Below are 22050 nucleotides of genomic sequence, written 5' to 3' on the forward strand. Positions count from 1 at the left end.
GCCACTGCTGCTGCTAGAGGAATGGAGGCCAGAGGGTGCTAGGAACCCTATGAGAAAAGCAGATGGCAACATGTCCAGCCCCAGCCATCTGTGACTCTGGTGGCATGGAACCACTCAGCTAAGGTGAATGGGATTCAGTCTGCTCCAGCTGCATGTGCAGTGGGCCAGGAGCCACTCAAGGTCTTCTTGGGCTTACTTTTTTCAACTTTGTTGGATGACTACAAGCAAGGCTTTTAGCTTTTAAGGACTTCAGTTTACACTTCAGGGAAAATGACTTAATGCTACTCAGCTGAAAGGGGGAAGCACAAAGGAAGAGGTAGAGAAGGCAAACTGGGTTTGTGATAGAGATTCAAGGAGAGCTCGAGATTTCTGTGAGCTCAAGGATGTTTTCCCCTATTATTTTAGGAATAATTCATTCATTTATTTGTGTATTTAATCAGCAAGCATCAGTTAAATGCCTATTGGTGCCCGTCACTGGTGTCAGGGAACCAGCAATCCAATATGGCAGCAGGTCCTTCCGCCTGGCCTCCTTCCCCAGATCTCTACTCCTCCCTTTCCCTCACCCCTCAGCTGATTTGAGAGAGGAAGGGGCACTAGCTTCTAGTGTACTGAGGTGACATGATAAGGTCATGATAGGTGCTGACATTGTTGGCACTAGAGTGGGTACATCTCATTTGACAACACTCTCTCTTGAAAGAGATTTGGGCCTGGGTCCCAAACATTACCTCAGCCACTGGGAAGGATTTTGAAGGTCAGGAAACAACAGGGATCCACAAGTTCAGCCTAACCCCTCCCTGACAGAAGGGGTGGCCCAGGCCTTCTTTGGACATTGTCGGTAGAGCTGGGCCCCTGGTTGGGTCCTCAGCATCATATGTGGACCAAGCGTTGTTTGGATTTGCCAAGAACATCTAAGGACTTTGGTCTTTGTGATTTAAGTAAGTTGTCATAACTTGGGCAGGAGGCATGCTGGGATCTCAGCCACCTGGCTGTTGGGGAAGGGATAGGGTTGGGAATACTGGCTCTTGGGTGGTCCTTTGGGTGTGGAAAGCTTAGGCATGGCATAGACAAGCATGTATGTGTGTATGATATAGGAAGTATCCCCCAGGAGAAAAGGCCCGGCAAAAGCAAGGCAGAGTCTAACCCTGTCCAAGTAGGGTTGGGGTTCAGGACTGGAGTCATAACTGGCAGCTCACACAAGGACCTAATGCATACAGAGGAAGGGCAGTGAGACCAATGCCAGCGCCTGTGTACTCTGCTCTCACCCTGCTCAAGCAGAAATGGGAGTGGTGGAGCCAATGGGTGAGCTTCATGACTTCAGCTGAGAGGGCTGAATTGGCCTGCTCGGGGCTGCCACCACCCTACTTAAAAACAAATCCTCATAGCCCAGCTACCACTGCACTGGGTGTTTGCGACTGAACTGGGCTTATCTAAAGGGTTATTTGTGAGCCTGGAAAAGGGATAGGGAATAGGCCATGATGTCCTGAGGCTATGACAGTAGCACTTTGCTAACTTATCCTTGTCCACCCTTCCAATCCCACTGTGGCTGCTCCTGCCTCCTCAGGAAGGGATACCTCCAAGCTCAACTGCCCACTCCTGCAGGTAGGCCTACTGCCCTCGCACATGCTCTGCCCACTTCTTGGATTGCTGGGCTCTGGCTGCAAGCCCTCAGAGCTCCTGTCATTCCTTTGCAGAACAAAGCAGCTACTCCAAGCAAGTGGTGCAGAAGGGTGGCTGGTGGAGGGGAGGCGGAGAAAATGTCAGGGGCTTATGTCAGGAAAGTTGAATGCTTGCCAGCAGCTGGGCCTTCCCATCTAGGGTGACTTCATGAAAGAAGCCCTTGAAAGATTGTTCCCTCTCCCTTGTAAGGGTGCATTTTTGGGAATCACTTTGTTTTCCTCTCCATTTTCTCTGCAAGTCTGATTGTTTGAGGAGAGCTAAACGTTATGTGTACTATTAAAGAAAAAAAAAGTGGAGAAAACCACCCCTTAAATGTAAAGCTGAGTAATTTCAGGAAAGGAATCCAAGGGAATGAGGTTTCTGCCCAAGTATGGGAAAATATCCATCCATCTCCCCACTTAATCAGAAAAATGATCTGCCGAATAATGAGTCATGCTGCCTGTCAGCAAACAGCACTGACCCTAGCCACAGAGCCAGGAATAACAGAGGTGAGAGATGACAGTAGCTATGACGAAGAAAAGACATGAAGGGAACTGGATTCCTGCTGCCAGCAGCTGTTTGGCTCACCTTTGCCCCGTCCTGTGCAATAAAAAATGCACTGGACTGGGCTGTGTTATTGGTGACACTGATCAATACCACTGGGGTTCATCTGTGCATTCTGATAAGTGGGGTCTCCGCAGGGGGCACTCAGAATCAATCACAGCTTTGTGCACAGTCTGGGAGTTCTTTTTTACTGAGGAAAGCATATATACAGTAAATTGCATAAAGCACACTGTAAATGTACATTTCAATGAAGTTGTATATGTATATGTGTGTGTGTGTGTGTGTATACATCTGTGTGTAACCACCACCCAGATCAAAATATAGAACATTCGCAGCACCCCAGAAGGCTTACTTTTGCCCCTTCCATTTGGTATTTACACGCACCAAGTGCTGCAATCAAATGTTTGTGATCAGTGGCATGCTGGTAAATGTTTAACAACCAGTTCTGGTGTGTGTAATGGGGTGCCCTGCTTTGTAGCTTTTGCCAATTTTGTGGTATAAATATTCCTGCTATGGCTAATTTCGAGCTACCAACAGTTTAACAACTGGCTCACAAAATTATGAAAATTTAACAATTGGCTCTGGTGAGCCAAGCAGACTGGCTCCAGCACATCACCAGTTGTAACAAAGGATTAAAGAGAGCCAAGTCCACCCAACTACCCAATGCAGGTAGGAGTGGGCTCCCAAATACTCCCAGTTCCAGCCCCCTTAGTGAGGAGAGAATCGTTCATAGGATTTAAAGTGATCTCCAGCTTCTTTTATGCAGCAGACATCGGTTGTGTCCCTACCTTGTGGCAAGCTCTAAGGTCACGAACATGAGTAAACCATGGTTCTATCCCTCAAGGAGCTTACATAATTTAACACTCGGAAGGAGAGGCGGACGTGTGAAGGTATATGTGCAATAAAGAGTTCTAGGGTCTGTGTAGGAGACTGCATGGGGCTTAATTGAGGGCACCAAGGAGGGCTCATTTCTGCCTTTGAATCAGAAATACATCTCTTATTCCACTTTGCTTTGGGAGGTGTCTTGGGGCCGAGGAAAAGAGCATCAGACTCCTACACACCTGTTTTGGATCCTGGTTCCACCTCTTCCATGCTGTGTGATCTTGGGCAGGTCACTTAACCTCTCTGAGCCTCAGGTCCCATATCTATAGAATGAGAGTAATTGTAGTACCTACCTTACACAGCTATTGTGAGTATTAAATGAGCTATTTCATGTGTAGCACTTAGCACACATAAGCACTTACTAATTATTAGCTTTAATTAGGAATTATTAGCTTCAATTAAGAATTATTAACAACTAGCTTGGACAAGCTTTGAACCTCTCTAGGACTCATTTTCATCTGTGAGATGGGATTAAAGTGCCAACCTTGTCAGTGTTGTCATGAGAATTAAATTAGATCATGTATGTGAATTGTCTGGCCCAGAGCTGGTTCTCAGCAAATGCTGGTTTGCCCCTTTCCTGCTTTCTCGCTCCTTTCCAACACACTGGCTTAAGACCTCGCTTGGAAAAAAAAAAAAAAAAAACCAGTTCTGACATGTTAGGAAATAAATATATCAAGTGAACACATTAACCCTTTTTAAAAGCTTTTTATTTTGCAATTTTAGACTCAAGGGAAGTTGCAAAAAAATTTACAAGGTGGATCTGGTGACCCTTTACTCAGTTTTACAATGTTGACATCTTACACAACTGGGAAAGTGATGTTGGTACAATCCGCAGAGCGTATTCAGGTTTCACGTTTTACATGTCATGTACTCTGTATATGAGTGTGTATATCATTTCAAACAATTTTATCACATGTATAGATTTGTATAACCATCACAATTGGGATGCAGAACTTCTAGTAACTGGCCACTGAAGTAAAAAAAAAAAAAAAAAATAAGCCAGGCGCGGTGGTTCATGCCTGTAATCCCAACACTTTGGGAGGCCAAGTTGGGCGGATCACCTGAGGTCAGGAGTTCAAGACCAGCTTGGACAACATGGCGAAACCCCATCTCTACAAAAAAATATAAAAATTAGCTGGGCGTTGTGGCAGGGACCTGTAATCCCAGCTATTCGGGAGGCTAAGGCAGGGAGAATTGCTTGAACCCGGGAGGCGGAGGTTGCAGTGAGCTGAGATCATGCCACTGCACTCCAGCCTGGGCGAAAGAGCGAGACTCAGTCTCAAAATGGTAATAATAATAATAAAAAGGAGATGCAGAACTGTTGCATCACCACAAAGATCTTCCTCATGCTACCTCTTGGTATTTGTACCCATCTACTACCCACTCCCCTCATCAGCTAACCCCTGGTAAGCAAGAACCTATTCTTCATCTATATGACTTTTTTAATTTCAAGAATGTTATGTAGGCCGGGCATGGTGGCTCACACCTGTAATCCCAGCACTTTGAGAGACAAAGGTGGGCAGATCACTTGAGGTCAGGAGTTCGAGACCAGCCTGGCCAACATGGTGAAACCTCATCTCTACTAAAAATACAAAAATTATCCTGGCGTGGTGGTGCTCACCTGTAGTCCCAGCTCCTCGGGAGGCTGAGGCAGGAGAATTGCATGAGCCGTGGTGTCAGACGTTGCAGTGAGCTGAGATCACACCACTGCACTCCAGCCTGGGCGACAGAGCAAGACTCTGCTCTTAAAAATAAATAATAAAATTAATCAATCAGTTGGGCATATTTTGTGGGTCTATTTCTGGATTATCTGTTATGTTCCATTTATCTGTTTATCTATCTCTCCACCAATACCACACAGTGTTGATGAGTGTAGCTCTATAGTAGGCTTTAGCACTGAGTAATTCCTCCAATTATTCTCCTTTTTCAAGATTGTTTTAGCTGTTTTAGGGCCTAGTGCCTTTCCACGTAAATTTTAGAATATAGTTGTCTATATCTATAAAAAGAAAAACGTTGTGGGATTTTAATAGGAATTGTATGAAGCCTATAAATCAATTTGGGAAGAATTGACTTTTTTTTTTTTTTTTTTTTGGGAGACAAAGTCTCGGTCTGTCACCAGGCTGGAGTGCAGTGGCGCAATCTTGGCTCACTGCAACCTCCGACTCCCGGGTTCAAGTGATTCTCCTCCGTCAGCCTTCCAGGTAGCTGGGGCTACAGGCGCACGCCACCACGCCCAGCTAATTTTTGTATTTTTAGTAGAGATGGGGTTTCACCATGTTGGCCAGGATTGCCTTGCTCTCTTGACCTTGTGATCCACCCACCTTTGGGTCCCAAAGTGCTGGGATTACAGGCGTGAGCCACCGTGCCCGGCCTCTGAATTGACATCTTTACTACGTTGAGTCTTCCAATCCACGAACATAGTATGTCTGTCCTTTATTTAGGCCTTCTTTCATTTATTTCACCAGCATTTAGTCATATTCAGCATAGATATCCTATACAAGTTTTACACATAAGTGTTTTATTTTCTTTGGAACAACTTTAAATGGTATTATGTGTTTTTAATTTGGTTCCCACCTGGTTAGTGCTAATATATAGAAATGCAGTGGTCTTTTCTGTGTTGATCTTTTATAGTGCAACCTTGCTGAAGTCATTTATTAGTTCTAAGAGTTTTTGTGTAGATTGCTTGGGATTTTCTATATATATATAATTATGTCGTCTGCAAATAGGGACAGTTTTATTCCTTCCTTTCCAATTTGTATGCCTTTTCTTTCTTTTTCTAGCCTATTGCACCAGCTAGAGCTTCCAGTATTATGTTGAATAAGAATGGTGAAAGTAGACATCCTTGTCTTCTTCCTAATTTCAAGGAGAAAACAGTCTTCCACCATTAAGTTTAATGTTAGCTGTAGGGTTTTGTTTTTGTTTTTTGTTTTGTTTTGTTCTTTAATAGATGTTCTTTACCACGTTGAGGAAGTTCCCCCACTCTTCCTAGTTTTCCAAGAGTTTCTATCATGTATGGGTGTTGGATTTTGCCAAATGATTTGCTGAATCCATTGATTGGATTATATGGTTATTCTTCTTTAGCCTGTTGATGTAGTAGATTACATTGATTTTTCAAATATTGGGTAAGCCTTGCATTCTTGGAATAAACCTCCACTAGAGTAAAATACCCACTTGGTCATGGTGTATAATTCTTTTTATATGTTGCTGAATTCTATTTGCTAATGTTTTTAAAACATTTTTGTGCCTATATTCATGAACTATATTGGCCTGTAGTGTTTTTATTTGTATACCGTTTTTGTCTAGTTAGGTATCAGGGTATAATACCTCATAAATTAACTGAGGAGTGTTCCCCCCTTTTCTATTTTCTGTAAGAGACTGTGTAAAATTGGTGTTAATTTTTCTTTAATGTTTGGTAGAATTCTCCAGTGAAAGCACCTGGGCCTGGACATTCTTTTTTGGAAGCTTTTAAAAATTGTAAATTCAGTTTTTGAAATCACTATAAGATTTCACATTCAGATTATTTATTTCTTGATTGAACTTTGGTAGTTTGTGGTTTTGTGATATTGGTCTATTTCTTCTAAGTTGTTGAATTTATGAGTGTAAAGTTGTTTATAATATCCTTTTAAAGGCTTCAGAATCTGTACTGATAACCCTGTTTCATTCCTGACATTGGTGATTTGTGTCTTCTCTCTTTTTATCTTTGTTATTCTTACTAGACATTTATCAATTTTATCAATTTATTTGAAAATGAACTTTTGTTTCATGGACTTTTCTCGATTGCTTTCTTATTTTCAATTTCATTGATTTCTGCTCTCTTTATTTCCTTTATTCTTCTTACTTTGGGTTTATCTTTCTCTTCTTATTATTATACATTCTTATAGATATGAAGCCTTTCTTCTTTTCTAATGTAAGGATTTGGTGCTATAAATTTTCCTGTCAGCATTGCTTTAAATGCATCCCACAAATTTTGATATTTGTATTTTAATTAATTTTCATCCAGTCCAATATATTTTTAAAATTTCCTTTGAGTCTTTCTCTTTGATTCATGGGTTGTTTAGAAGTGTGTTGTTTAATTTCCAGGTGTTTGGAGATTTTCCTTTTATATTTTAAAAATTGACTTGTAGTTTGATTCTCTATGTCAAGAGAACAGACTCAGTGTGACTTCAAATATTTTTAAGTTTATTGAGATTTTTGCCTTGGTGAATGTTCCATGTGTATTCTGCTCTCGTTGGGTGGAGGGTTCTTTGTATATGTCAGTTACATCTCTCGGATTGATTGTGTTGTTGAATTCTTCTTCTCTTTGATGATTTTCTGTCTAGTATGTCTATCAATTACTGTAAGTGGAGTGTTGAAGAACCCAACTATAATTGTGGATTCATCAATTTGTCCTTTCAGCTCTCTCAGTTTTTGCTTTTTTATTTTTATTTTTTGACACGGAGTTTCGCTCTTGTTGCCCGAGTGAAGTGCAGAAACTTTATCTACCTTTATGCCCTTTTAGCCTCCCTTATTTATAATTATCTTAAATATTTCCTCTACATACATTTAGAACCACATAAGATAGTATTTGCTTCAACCATCAAATATAACTTAGAAAATTCAAGTGGAAAAGAAAAAATCTATTGTATTTACCCATATTTTTGCTTACTGTGTTATTTCTTCCTTCCTGGTATTCCAAGATTCCTTCTTTATTGTTTCATTTATGTTTACAGCAGGGGTCCCCAACCCCCAGGCCATAGATCGATACCAGTCTGTGGCCTGTTTGGAACCGGGCAGCACAGCAGGAGGTGAGCGGCAGGGCAAGGAAGTATTACCACCTGAGCTCCGCCTCCTGTCTGATCAGTGGGGCATTAGATTCTCATAGGAGCATGGACCCTACTGTGAACTGTGCATGCAAGGGATCTAAGCTGCATGCTCCTTATGAGAACCTAACTAATGCCTGATAACCTGAGGTGGAACAGTTTCATCCCAAAACCATCCCCCTGACTCCCATCTGTGGAAAAATTGTCTTCCATGAAACCAGTCCCTGGTGACAGAGGATTTCCTTTAGCCATGTTTCCAGGGTAGGCCTGGTAACAAAGTTTCTTAATTTTTCCTTCTCTGAGAATTTTTTGATTTCCCCATCATTCCTGAAGGATATTTTCACTGGATATAGGATTCTGGGTTGACAACTCTTTTATTTCAGGATGTGAAAAATGTGTCATTTTTTTCTGGCCTCCATGGTTTCTGATGAGAAATCCACTGTCAGTTGACTTGCTTTTCCACTGTGAGTAATCATTATTTCTCTCTGACTGCTTTCAAAAGTTTTTATTTATTTTTAATAAAGAAAGTTTAATTATGACTTGTCATGAATTTCTTCGGGTTTATCTTACTTGGTTTTACTCAACTTCTTGAACCTGGAGGTTTGTGTCTTTTGCCAAATTTGGGAAGTTTTTAGCCTTTCATTAGTCAAATACCTTTTCAGTCTCATTTTATTTCTCCTCTCCTTCTGAGGCTCTGATCATACAAATCTTAGATCTTTTTTTTTCTGTCCCACAGCTCTCTAATGCTTTGCTCATGTTTTCTTTTCAGCCTTTTTTTCTCTCATGTTTATATCATGTAATTTCTGTTCCTCTATCTTGAAGTTCACTGATACTTTCCTCTGTCTTATTCTTTCTGCTGTTGAGCCCATCCACTGAGTTTTTAATTCTGTTATTTTATTTTTCAGTTCTATAATTTCCAGTGTGTTCTTTTTGATATCTTCTATTACTTTGGTGAGCTTTCCTATTTTTATTTTTTTCAAGAGTATTTGTTGAAGCACTTTATGATGAATGGTTTAAAACCTTTGCCCAATAATTCCAACATCTGACATCTTGGTGTTGATATATGTTGACTGTCTTTTCTCATTCATGTTGTGATTTTCCTGGTTCTTGATATGATGAGTGATTTTTAAATTTTTATCCTGGACATTTTGGATATTATGTTAGGAGGCTCTTATTTCAGTCTCCTATTTCAGTAGGCAGGCTGTTTAGGTTTAACATGTAGGATCGGCTGGGCACAGTGGCTCACGCCTGTAATCCCAGCACTTTGGGAGGCTGAGGCAGGCAGATCACAAGGTCAGGAAATCAAGACCATCCTGGCTAACATGGTGAAACCCCGTCTCTACTAAAAATACAAAAAAAAATTAGCCAGGCCTTGGTGGTGGGCGCCTGTAGTCCCAGCTACTTGGGAGGCTGAGGCAGGAGAATGGCATGAACCCGGGAGGTGGAGCTTGCAGTGAGCCGAGATGGCGCCACTGCACTCCAGCCTGAGCAACAAAGTGAGACTCTGTCTCAAAAAAAAAAGAAAAAAAAACATGTAGGATCTGGCCTACTTTTGTGGGCTGTGGTTCCAATGACAATTTAGTTTTTGGAGTCCTTGCAGTGCTATTCTGGTCTCCTTTGTACATCTGGTGCAGCTGCAGCTCCCTAACTTGGTCCCTACTGATGCTTCACACAGGGGCAGAATGTACTTACCCAGGACTGATGCTGGTAGGTGGGGGTGGAAGATACCAGGCCTGTGAGGGAAGAAAGCTCTTCCCCTGGCCAGGTGCCTGTGAAACTGTCACTTGATTTCTACCAGTGCCCCCAGTGTTGGCAGAAGGTTCTTTCCTAGGCCTCTCACTGAGTTCCTCTAGGTAAGGGATGAGAGATACCGTGTTGCAGGGCAGAGGGTGCCTCACCTGGCCAAGTCTCTGGATAGCCTGGTGCCAACAGAGCTCCCATTCTATCTCTGCCAGTGCCACCAGGGAAAGAAAGGCCACCTTCTGTCACTGGGTGGAGGGCTGGGAGACATCAGATCTGGGTTGCCTTCTGCCAGTGAGTGGAGGGTCGAGAAATGTTGATCAACCCCCTTTTTAACACAGAATCCAAAATACCAAAAGCTCAAAGAATCCCTATTTGTTTCGGCAGCACAGGACTCATTTCCAGGTGCAAGGTATGAGAGTGGGGTCTGGGAGTCTGGGACCTAGTCACATTTCTTGTCTTTGGACAAGTCACTTTGCTTATCTAGGCTCAAGTGTCTCTCCTCAGCAGAATAAGTTGCAAGTGGCACCTCCTTCCCACGGTTGTGTAAAGGTTTAAATGAGCTGTGGTCTGAGATGCCGCAATCCCTATGCCCGCTGTGCAGGCCCTTAACAAAGGGGTATGGGTAAAAGGTTGAGGCAGGGCAGCCTGAAACATCTTCTTCTCCACATTTTCAAAATTACAAACTCTTTCAACTCTTTATAAACAGTCAATTATAAACTCTTTCAAACTCTTTATAAACAGTAAAGTAGGGAGAAAATGTCAGATCTTCACATTTTGCCACATTTGCTTCAGATCTTTTCTAAGAAACAGGTCATTATACATCCAGTTGTGAGCTCTGCCCCTACCCTGGCCTAGAGGTAGCCAGTGTCCCAAACTGTCTGTTTCCAATTCCCATGCATGTATTTATATTTTACCACATACATATACATCTATAAACAGTATATAATATTGTTTTGCATGTTTTAAGCTGTATATAAATGGCATCATACTGTGCATACATGTTCTGCAAATTTCTCTTTTTATGCAAATTTAGAGTGTTATGATTGGTCCAAAAGAAGACTGGCCAAGCAATAGAGATTAGACATGATATTCATGTAAAGGCATTTGATATGAGTAGAGAGCAGAAATGTGTGAATAAAGATATATAATAATATAAGAGATAAAATAGGACATAATGGTATATATAGGAGATAAAGATATCAAGGTATATAACAACATAGGAGATAAGACTAAGTAAGAGAACCAAGAAAGCAGAGAGGGTGATTAGCTGTGAGAAAAAAAACATACAGAGGCCAAGATACCAGTTTGTAGAAGCAGAAGTGGATTGGCTGCCCAAAGAAGCCCTTAGTTGAAGGACCTTTTCTCCTCTGCTTTCCTTTCCTTCCCTTCCCTTTTCCTTCCCTTCTCTTTTCTTTTCCTTTCCTTTCCTTTCCTTTCCTTTCCTTTCCTTTCCTTTCCTTTCCTTTCCTTTCCTTTCCTTTCCTTTCCTTTCCTTCCTTGTCTCTCTTTATTTCAATTAGGAAAGGGAAAGTGATCTTGTGCAACACGACTCTTAGGGATAGTTGGGAGGATTAGAGTAGTCTCAACCTGAATTTGCGGCTTGTGTCTGAACTTTCTCTTTTTAACATTATGCTTTTGAGATTTATCCATGTTGATACACGAGTTAGAGTTTAGTCATTTTAACTGCTGTACACTATTCCATGTAATGGCTGTACCACAATTTATTTAACCATTTTCCAGTTGTTAGACATTTAGGTTTCCTCCAGTTTTTCCCTGTTTATAAACAATGATGCTATCAAATGCCTCTTGAAGCATTTGAGAAAGTCTACAACTTCAAGTTCAGTCAAGTGTAGTGGCGTACACTTCCAATCAATAATCCCGATGATGTGGTGTCTGTAGGAAATCTTGGTAAGGTCCATTAACCACAATCTGGCCCATTTTGGTTGGATGGGAGCTCGTTGCACCAGGTCAGCTGCGTCCTGTGTGGAGTTGTGGGTATTGAGGACTCAGCCAGAGACCCCATGATACGTTTAGGACTCATGTGTGCATCTTCTTTACTCATTCTCAATCCCTTGGCCTCATCTCATCTCATTGTGGCCTGTTAAAAGTCCTTTAGTCCCTGTCACTTTCGTGTCCACAGTCTGCAGTACATGACATACCCTTGGTGTCCCTCCCTCTGCCATTCTTCATTTGTTAGCCTGCAGCCCTGTGGCCCCAGGAAAGGGGAAGGGCCTAACATTTATTGAGCTCTACTCTGTACCCCAACACCAAGTTAAGTGCTTTTAGATACCTCGTCTCATTAATGGTCCCAGCCACCCTTCCAAGTAGTTATTATCATTTCCATTATAGAGATGAGGAAACTGCCACCAAAATAGGTTCAGCAAGTGCAACATTCATACCTATGGGATGGGGATTGGTGTGAGGCAGAGTTCAGCTTGGGGCTACAGGCAGCCTTTGATCGAGGAATTGAGTTTATCTCTCTCTTTGGGGTTTTGTTGACCATCCTGTAACAGGAGACACTCCTGTTAGGGAATGTGCCCTAATGTTCCCTTGACAGGGTAAGCCCAAGGAATCAGCGCTGGATGGGAACACAGATCATATCCATGCTTTGGGATCACAGTTCCACATTTCATTTACCATACCCTCCCACTCTCTCACACACACATACTCTCTTACTAACTCAGACTAACAAACGGCCCTAACACTTATTAACTGTGTGAAATATGTCACTTGACCTAGAGGTACCTTGTTTAATCCTCATTCACACTCTGTAATGAAGTATCGTGATTTCCATTTTTTTCAAGTTTGGACATTGAACCTCAGAGAGGTTAAGTTACTTGCCCTGGATCCCAGAGCTAGGATGTGCTGGAGGCCACATTCTAAACGAGAATGATGTGGGTGGTCCCTGGAGCACTCCAACCACAAACTGAAGTTCAAGTGTCACTCTCCATGGTCAGATGAGCTTCGTTATTTTATTCCAGGAGCATCCCCTGAGCACGTGCAGTGTGCCAGGCTCTGTGCCAAGCACTCAGTGCCAAATGAGATTGACTCCACAGAGCTGTCACTTTGGGGAAATTAGAAATGCTCTGATGCCACCCAACTTGCTTCTGGCCCTCATAAAAGAAAAGTGCTTTATAACTCCCTGTTCATCCCTTGAGTCAGTCAGTCATTGTATCACTTACTCAACAAGCATTCGAGTGTTCCCTGTGTAAAGGCCCTGCGCTAGGAGCTGGAGATTCAAAGATGAGGAATGCCCAGTCCCTACCCTTGAGAAACACATAATTTAGAAGCAGAAACAGACATATAAACACATAATTATAATGCAGTGGATAAATGATGACAGAGCGTTGGGCTAGATGTAGTGAGAATTCAGAGGAGGAAGTCCCTAACTTTGCTTGCATGAGTTAAGGGAGGCTTCCAGGGGAAGGGAGGTTTCAGTTGGGTCTTAAAGGATGGATAGATGTTTTCTAGGTAGGCTGTAGGATGGCATTGCACACATAAAGGCGAATATGGAAGTCTGTTTTGGGAACAGTAAGTAGCTGATATAAATCAGGGATCTCAGCTGAAGGCTAAGAGGGCCCAGGAAGTTAACATAAGTGAGTGAAGCAGGTCACATACAAAGATCCACACGAACATTATCAGTGGCCCTCCGTGCTCAGAGTACCATAGGGATGTGTGCGGACCGTGGGAAACTGGAGAGTCTGCACCCTGTCTAAGGGAACAGCTGCTGCTGAGCTCTGCTGCTAGTTGTCATATGGAATTACTGGCCCAGTGTTGCTACATTTTCCAGTTTTACAAGAGATGCCAGAAATCCAGATTTCTAAAATGTAAAATATTGTCGCTTTTCAACATTGACAACGATTTCACATTTGTAAGCTACACCATCAAAACATGTCTTCCAGCCATTCCTCTGCAGCCTCAGGAGAGTGGAGGGGGCTGGAAAGAAATGGAACTGGGAAGGGAACCAGGGCCAGGCACCCTGCTCTTCTCCTCCGCACACAGTCCAGACCCTGGGTGATGCAGAAGTTCAGCCACCTGACTTTCAAAATCTGCTTTTGAACAGAAGACAGCACAAATAAGGTTTAAGAAACTGGAGAAGAAAACAATCAGGGGAGGGTTTCATGGCATGTCCCTCTTTCCCTTTCTGGGTCCAAATGTTTTATGTATGGCTCATTTACTCATTGGATTCTGGCCCCCAGCTATAAATTCTCTGCAGGCCATGGCTGGGGTGGGATGAAAGCTAAAGGAACATGAGAACGGTGAGGTGAGGTCGTGCGCTCGGGAGCCACCCACGCTGGATGCTGCTAGCCTTCTGTTTTCCCGCAACCCTCAGGTCTGGGTTTCCCTACAAGGTCTGCCAGCCCTGACAGAAACAGCTGCTACAGATCCCAAGTGCTTTCTCTCTGCAAAGCAGGAATACACTGGCCTACAGTGGAGACTGGAAGTGTCTGGAGGCCTTGTCTGGGGACAAGGGCCTTGCAGGCATCATGGATGAAGCCACCCTCTCAGGCCCTGCCCCCAGATGTTCTACTTTTCTATCCCGATCTCTCTCTTCAATCCCTAGTCCCTGTGATTTCAGCAGGAAAATATCTAGAATTGTGTTCAAACCACAGGGTCAGGCAGAGTGAACTTGTTTTTGAAACAAAAACCTGAAGCTCTGCTCTTTGGGCTCTGAGTGAATGTGGCTCTGCAGTGGCCGGCAGCCCGGTGTGCTACCTCTGCGAGAGATTGGCAGTCCCAGTTCACCCCCATTGGGGTCTAGGATGAACCAGTCACCAGCTAAGTTTCTGGCCTCACTGCTTCCTCACGCCCTACCCTGCCTCATGTCCACTTCCTCTCTGAAGACAGGACTCAGTTGTTCTCTGTCTTCTTTGCTTGTGAGTTGGTCCTAGCTCCCCACTCTTTTTCAGGCCAGTAGCTGCCTGGGGTGTAAGGGCTAGACTAGGGTGGTGTGTCCTGGAGCTAGAAGGGGGGTTAGAACTGGACCACACCTAATTGTCGGCAGTAATGGGAGGAGCTTGAGGCAGAGGATTTAAGAGGCAGACTCTTGGGAAGAGGCTGAAAAGCAGAGTGTCTGGCCAAGAAGACAATCCCTGAGCCAAAAAAAAAAAAAAAGGAGCTGCAAGGACTTTGTAGAGTAAGCAAGGAGCCTTGGGCCTGGATGGAAGATGTGGGCCTATATTGTGTGCCCGGTGCATTGTAGGTGCTTTGTTGAATAAATAAATGAAGGAAGGAATGAACCAGGTGTAGACATGTAATTTAAGGTTCTCCCACACCCAAGTCAGGTAGCTTTCCTGTTCAGAAGTTTTTGGTTACCCTCTCACTCCCCACACATCTGTTCTGTGCCAGGCCTGGACTAGGTATGTAGGGTGGCGAGGCAAAGAGAGAGGGGAGTGGGACTCAGTCCTGCCGCTGAGGTTCCCACAATTGATGTGGGGAAGATGGGCATGGCCACACACAGCTGCAATGCGCTGTTTCCTGACTTTTGTGAGTCTCAACTCCTGCAGACCTGCTACCTCTTTCTACAGCCAACTTACTAGCACTTCCTTTACTACCCTAAAATGAAACTCCTAGAAAATATAACCCATGCACACACATAATTTCACCCTGAAGACACTGCTTGAGGTCTCTGCAAATTGAACTAGGTTAAACTTTGGACATCAGTATCAATCACATGCTAAATGTTATTAATGATATTATTAATATTAATATATATTGCTTATTGAGAATGTCCTGTGTTGCCAGGTACTTTCTACATATTGTTTTAATCTTTGTACTAACTCCATGAGGTAGACAATGTTACCATCCCCATTTTACACACAAGGAAAGAGAGGTAATGAAAAGTTTCCTTAGGAAATTGCCTGAAGCCACACAGTAAATGGCTGAGCCGGGATTCGACCCCAAGCACTCTAGCCTCAAACCCGTACTCTTTCCATGATACTTTGCTCCCTCAGAAACAGCTTCTTTAGTACAGACCCTTTTCTTAGGGGCTGCCATGCATCAAAATACCCTGAGACCTCCTCTTGGCCGATGTGGTCCCTGTCCCTCTTGAGCCACACATGTTGATTATTCTGGCAAATATTTACCCTCCATTTTACCTGGGTTCTACTTTCCTGAGCCCTTGTTTTTCCCCCTCTCCAGGCAACTGGAAATTCAAGTTTTAGGTAGGCTATTTCTTAGACAGGAGTGGAGATTCTGCAAGTACTAAATAAACTGACCAAGCCACGAGGAAACCGGCTGAGTCCTACGTGAGAACATGAAGGTGTGGGTTTGTTCTGCCAAAGTTTATTGGACTCCCCTTTATGTCATACACTCCCTGTGTTATATTGGGGATACAGAAATAAATGAAGCTTGGTCCCTGTCCTGAAAGCTACCAGGCTAGTTGAGAGGACGGTGGGGAGTTATTTTCAGAGGGACATGGCCAGTGCTGTGGTCACGGGAGAGAAGAGGATGGAGCTGAGGAAACACAGGTCAATGTTAAGCCCAGCAGACTAGAACCCAAGGCAGGATTACTGGCACAGTGGGCAAAGCGAGTGCAAATCAGGAACCTAAAGAAGTGGAAGCAGATGTTCAGGGCCAATATGGCTACAGTGGAGGACATTGTGGCTTTTTGGATTCTTGCTTGCTTGGGGCTCACTTGAGACAACCAGATTTAGGGCAGCTGACTGAATCCAGATTCCACCCAATTTTTGGAATTCTTCCCCCTAATCAAGTGGCAGGGAAGGTCCTGCTCCTAAACAAGAACTTACAACCACTTCAGCATGAGCATCAACCAGTATCCTTGTCAGGTGGCCCCCATTCCTCTACATTCCTGGATGGTTTGGGATCCCACAGAACTCTAATGATTACATAAGAAGAGTGGCCCGCTCTCTCCGGTCCATGCCTCCAAGATGACAAAGAAAAGAAGGAACAACAGTCATGCCAAAAAGGGCCGCGGCCACGTGCAGCCTATTCGCTGCACTAACTGTGTCCGATGCGTGCCCACAGACAAGGCCATTAAGAAATTCGTCATTCGAAACATAGTGGAGGCCGCAGCAGTCAGGGACATTTCTGAAGTGAGCGTCTTCGATGCCTATGTGCTTCCCAAGCTGTATGTGAAGCTACATTACTGTGTGAGTTGTGCAATTCACAGCAAAGTAGTCAGGAATCGATCTCGTGAAGCCTGCAAGGACCGAACACCCCCACCCCGATTTAGACCTGCGGGTGCTGCCCCACGTCCCCCACCAAAGCCCATGTAAGGAGCTGAGTTCTTAAAGACTGAAGACAGGCTATTCTCTGGAGAAAAATAAAATGGAAATTGTACTTAAAAAAAAAAAAAAAGAAGAGTGGCCCAAGGTAATTTTCTAACTGATGTGGCACTGGCTGCATAGCATGCTAGAAGCCCCCACGTGGAGCTATCTGGCCATCAGGGTCCAAGCTGACACTGGGAAGAGGAGCTGGAGACAACTAAGACCCAGCAGCCTTCCCAGCATCTAGCACACATAACAGCCCAAGTCAGGGCATGAGAAGCAGTCTGAATACAATGTCAAGAGTCACAGGGGTGTGGGAAACACTCAAGGCAGGTCTGCTACAGATGACTGTACTTGGGGAGTGCAGGGGAGCAGGGTGAAATAGCAGTCCTGGGCATACAATGGGAGGGATTAGCAGAGTCCCAGCAATGAGGGAAGGAGGGGCTGGCAGGAGCCAGACAGACCAGCGTGGCTCCCCAGCTGCCAGCTGAGGCTCAGGACTAGGTGCCAGGTCCCTTGTGGTGGGGTTGCTGGAGAGACCAAGGATGTTGGCCCGACACACAGTGGCCAGTCAGGAAAACCAGCCCCTCGTGGCAGGGGTGGAGGGGTGGTGGGAGGTGGGAGGCCCCCGTGGCCTCTGGGGCTCAGCTTGCTTCCAGGCTCAGAGGCATCACCCAGGGCAGCATACACTATTTGCAGTCCCCCTCTTATACCACTTTCTGAGGAGGGAACCCCCCAGTCCCCGGTCAGACTGGATTCACTCTGATTCCAGAGCAGGGCCAGTTGAGCAGGAAGAAGGGCTTTGACCTTCCCTGCTTACGGAGACAGGCCTTGGCCAGGCAGAGACTGACATATAAATAGCTTTTTATTCACTCAGAGCTTTAAGATGACCATGTGTGCCTTTTCGTATTGTGTACAGACCGCATACCTATGGCCCGCACAATTTGCATTTGTGCAGGGATATGGCAACAGTAAAAGTCTGCCAAACTGCTTTCATTTTTCTGATATGACTGAGAACTTCCCAGTGCCAAGGGCCCAAATGGGAACTCCCCCAGTTTTCTTAAGCTCCCTTCATAGACAGGTATAAACACCTAAACAGAGCTGCAGACAACCCCCACTCCCTCACCCTCATTCAGGGAGACAGTATCATGTTCATGGCCAATGAAAATCAAGACTGTCTCATGGAAACAGAGGGGCTCACCCGCATTGGTCCTGGGATGTTGCTAAGCACTTTCATTGGTCTGTTTCCCCGAATTCCCTAGGTCCTGCATTTCTAACCTTTTAAGGTTTGGAGTTTCTTTGCTCCTAGGCCGGCCCACAACCTCGTCTGATAGGTAAAGGACAGAATCTCTTAGACAACACCAGGCAACCTGTCTTCCCAGAAAAGTACTAAATGGCACTAGACTCTAAAATTCATCCCTAAAATTCTAAGAGCCATAAGGCAGCTCCATATACTGAGTAGAGGCATTGACCAGGCCAAGGGCTGCAAGTGGCAGACAGCTTGTGCTTCCCAGTTCCTGCATCTTTAAAACAAAGAGAAAAATACTCCTTGTACCTCCTGAGGGCTGATATGAGAGCAAACTAACTAATCAGAGTGATCACGATGCACTTTGCCAATATAAAAGTGAGCCGGCAGTGCTCATTATCGCTAAGGAATCTAGCCCATTTCCTCCTCTTCCTGTGGTTACTAATGCAGAAGGCTTATTAAAGTTGAGAGTCTGGTGGTGCTGATAAATGGGCCATGCCATCTGGATTCTGGCTCCCAAGTCCTAGACTGAGGATTATGCTCTCTTCCCTGGGGACATTTCAAGGACGGACACTGCAGAGAAAGGTTTCAGGGATCACCTTTGCCATGTGTTTCTGGTTCTCGGTGTCTTTACATTGCTGGCAAAGCACCTTTTGCTGGCCCAGAGCAAGATTCAGATGGAGCAGATAAATGAGTTGCCGCTGTGCTGCACTGGGCTGGTTTCTCTTGTAAGTCTTTTTTCATTTAAGCCCCCAAACAACATTATTAATTTGGTATTGTTATTAGTAACAACAGAGTTGTGCAGATGGAAAGACTGAGATTCAGAGAGGTTAAGTGACATCTCCAAAGTCACAAAGCTAATAAGTGGCAGAGCCGGAATTAAAACTTAGGTTTGTTTAACTCAAAATGCACTGTGATGAGCACACACAATAGCTGTCATTCACCTTGAAGGTGGTGAAGTTAAAACATGGTTGCACCCTTATTTCCCCTCCCAGCACCCCCACCCCTGGCCACAACATACACATCTCACTTCATCATCCTCTTCAGCCACCATCCTGAAACCATACCTAGAAGCCTAGTGCCCTCAGCTTTCCCCAAAGGGTCTCCACACTCATGCTCTCCTTACCTGTATTTGAGTTTTTATTTCTCAGTGGTTGTTGTGGCAAGGAGGCAAGGGAAAAGGGAGCTATTACCTATTGTGTTTCCCAGTTTTGCAGACTTTGCTCAGTAAACTGTTCCACGGAGGCCATCGACATTGGAGGCTGACTTACTATGTTCCCATTCTCAGGGACTTTGTCTTCTCACAGGGAGCAATGGCTATGGCCCAGGAATGAAGCTTTCCAATAGTGGAAGTTTAGGCAACAGCCACTGGGTGACAGAGAAGACACTCTGGAATCTTTCTCTTGCTCCCCCAAATCCTATCTGCCTATACTGAGACTGGTCCTGACTGTGAAATTTTTAGCTCAATAGTTGTCTCCCTAAATTGGGTTCCAGGGAGTCCATATGCAAATGTTTCCTGATGAGAACCATCAGGAGATTTCTCCCAAACATTGTGAGGCCCAGAGTGCTGGGCTGGGTATAGAGAAGGGTGGCCTCATGCTATGGTACAGCATTGTGCCAAGGCCAGCTCCTAGGGCTAGCAGCCTTTGAGACTGCCCAGTCAGTTCAGATCAGTGGAGCAAGTCTAAATAGGGCAAAGAGGAGGCAAGATGGGAAGCCAAGAGTGTCAGGAGGTAAGGGTTGCCAACTCCACTAAGCAGAGGGATGTACTCTGAGGGCTCCAGGAGCCAGCCAGGCAGTGGCCAGAAGCCTTCTTGGTAGGGCCTCCATCCTGAGACAAACCTTGGTTCCACAGATAGCTAACCCAGACCTGTCTGTCCACACTGGTTCAGTGCCATTAAGAGTTCACTGCCCTTAACTGTGCCTTTCACACTCATGATGATAACAATAATAATAATAATAATAATAATAATAATAATAATAAAGCAACATTTTGAGTGCCTACTATATGGCAGGCATTACACTAAACATTTATTGGATTAACTCACTCAGTCCTCACAATAACCCCATAAGGTAGATACTATTTTCTCCCCCTAATAAAGATGAGGAAGCTTTTTCCTAATTCTCCTATGCATCCGAGGAGGCATGGAGAGATTAAGTGAGGTTCCCACACTTGGGTTCAAGGAAAAGGTGGTTATTAGGAAGGAATGGGAGCCAGAGTGCGTGTGGGTAGGGGTAGCCTTTAGAAAAGTTGAAGGACATGTTGTCACGAAGGGGAAGATGCAGATAACTTTATTGTTTGGGGAAAAGTGACAGAGCTCCTGTCCAATGGCCACCACTTTCTCGGAATTCAAGAGGCTGCATTCTCCTGCTTGAGAAAAGGTGACATAATGCCACTGGGGTCCTGAGGAGAGTGCTGATGCTCTATCCCCACTGTTTGCATGTGTCCCAGCCCAGCAGACTCAAAAACTCTCTCTGGGATGCTGGAGTTGGGGTTAGAGGGCATTTCTCCTCCATGGTGACAGGAGAAATGTTGTCAATATTTCCTGTAGGCAACACCAGGGCGGGGCAGCAGCTTGTTTCTGGCTTCAGGCTTCTTGGACTTTACTCGACCTGTTTCAGGAAGGTAGAAAAGCGTGTGCCTCCCTGTCTGAAGCAGTCGAAATGTTCCTGATTAGAACACAGAGTCTTTGCACACAGAATAATATTCAAGGCCAGGCACAGTGGCTCATGCTTGTAATGTCAGCTACTCAGGAGGCTGAGACAGGAGGATTTCTAGAGGCCAGGAGTTCAAAGTTATAGTGAGTTATGCTTGCCCCTGTCTGTAAAAATGAGGAAGAAGGAGGAGAAGAAGGAGGAGAAGAAGAAGAAGAAGAAGAAGAAGAGGAAGAGGAAGAGGAAGAGGAAGAGGAAGAAGAAGAAGAAGAGGAGCAGGAGGAGGAGGAGGAGGGGAGGAGGAGGAGGAGGATTCAAAATTCACCTGAGAACTTGTTGCTGTCTGTTGGCTTCTTGCCAGGGAAGGCCCTGCTGTGATCCAGGGCAAAGTGGACTGGCAGGGGCTATGAAGCAGGGATGGCAGCCAGAGTGATAACAGAGTGCTCCCAGCAGGTGGCGAGGGGCTGCAGAATGATGAGAGACTAGAAAGAACCTGGTGGCCCAGAATGCGGATCTGGGGGCCAGGGCCTCGGTGTGTGGTTCTGCAGGTTGTGCCCTGCGCAAGCTCACCCAAGTGAGTGGGGACAATCCAATAGTCAAGACCTTTATCCTGGGGCCACTTTTTCCTAATTCTCTCAAAGGCATTGCAGCTCTCCAAGCTGTACATCTAGCAGGAGGAGGCACCTTATGAATTCCCAGTGCCCGGAGTGGGTGAGACTCCCCCCAATTCCCTTCTTTATTCTCTCTGGTGTCCATTTTGCTTCCCCAAACCCCCTCATACCTGTTCCTACTCATGAGATTTTCATGTTTTAGGGGCATGTCTTGCCTAAGCCTCCTGACTCTTTATTCTTCCTGGAGCCTCACTCCTCTATAACTCCATCACCCTTTTACTGCCAGTGTCTCAATCCAGGCCCCCGGTTCTTACCTCAGGCAATGATAGAAATTATCTAGAAAACATTGTGAGTGCCTGCTTTGGCACACCTGAAATCTGGTCACTTAAGCAATCAAGATGAGGAAGAGCTGGGAACGCTCAAGGCTCCTCCCATCCACCTCGTGTCACTCACTGTTCCCTTTCACTTACACATGTTTACTGAGCATCTAGTATGTATCAAACACTGTTCAAGGCTTTGGTGACACAACAATTCACAAAACAAGCATAAATAAATCCTCTAGCTATAACTAGCTTCTAGTTGTAGTTATAGTTCTGGTTTTGGTAGGTTATGTTCCCTTCGATTTCACCATTCTTCTCTCTTGGTCTGATGCCCTGAAAACCCTC

The 22050-nt window shown here is 44.7% G+C and overlaps 1 protein-coding gene and 1 pseudogene across 10 annotated transcripts in view; both read left to right on the plus strand.

The window, feature by feature from the left end:
• Positions 1-22050, plus strand: part of NHSL2 (NHS like 2) — a 242442-nt gene that overhangs the window by 117166 nt on the left and 103226 nt on the right. The gene's annotated exons all lie outside the window — the stretch shown is intronic.
• RPS26P11 (ribosomal protein S26 pseudogene 11) lies at positions 16399-16964 on the plus strand (annotated as a pseudogene). The gene has a single exon (NR_002309.1). The product of NR_002309.1 is annotated as a ribosomal protein S26 pseudogene 11 (transcript).

This window comes from Homo sapiens, chromosome X (genome assembly GCF_000001405.40).
Source record: "Homo sapiens chromosome X, GRCh38.p14 Primary Assembly".
NCBI lineage: Eukaryota > Metazoa > Chordata > Mammalia > Primates > Hominidae > Homo > Homo sapiens.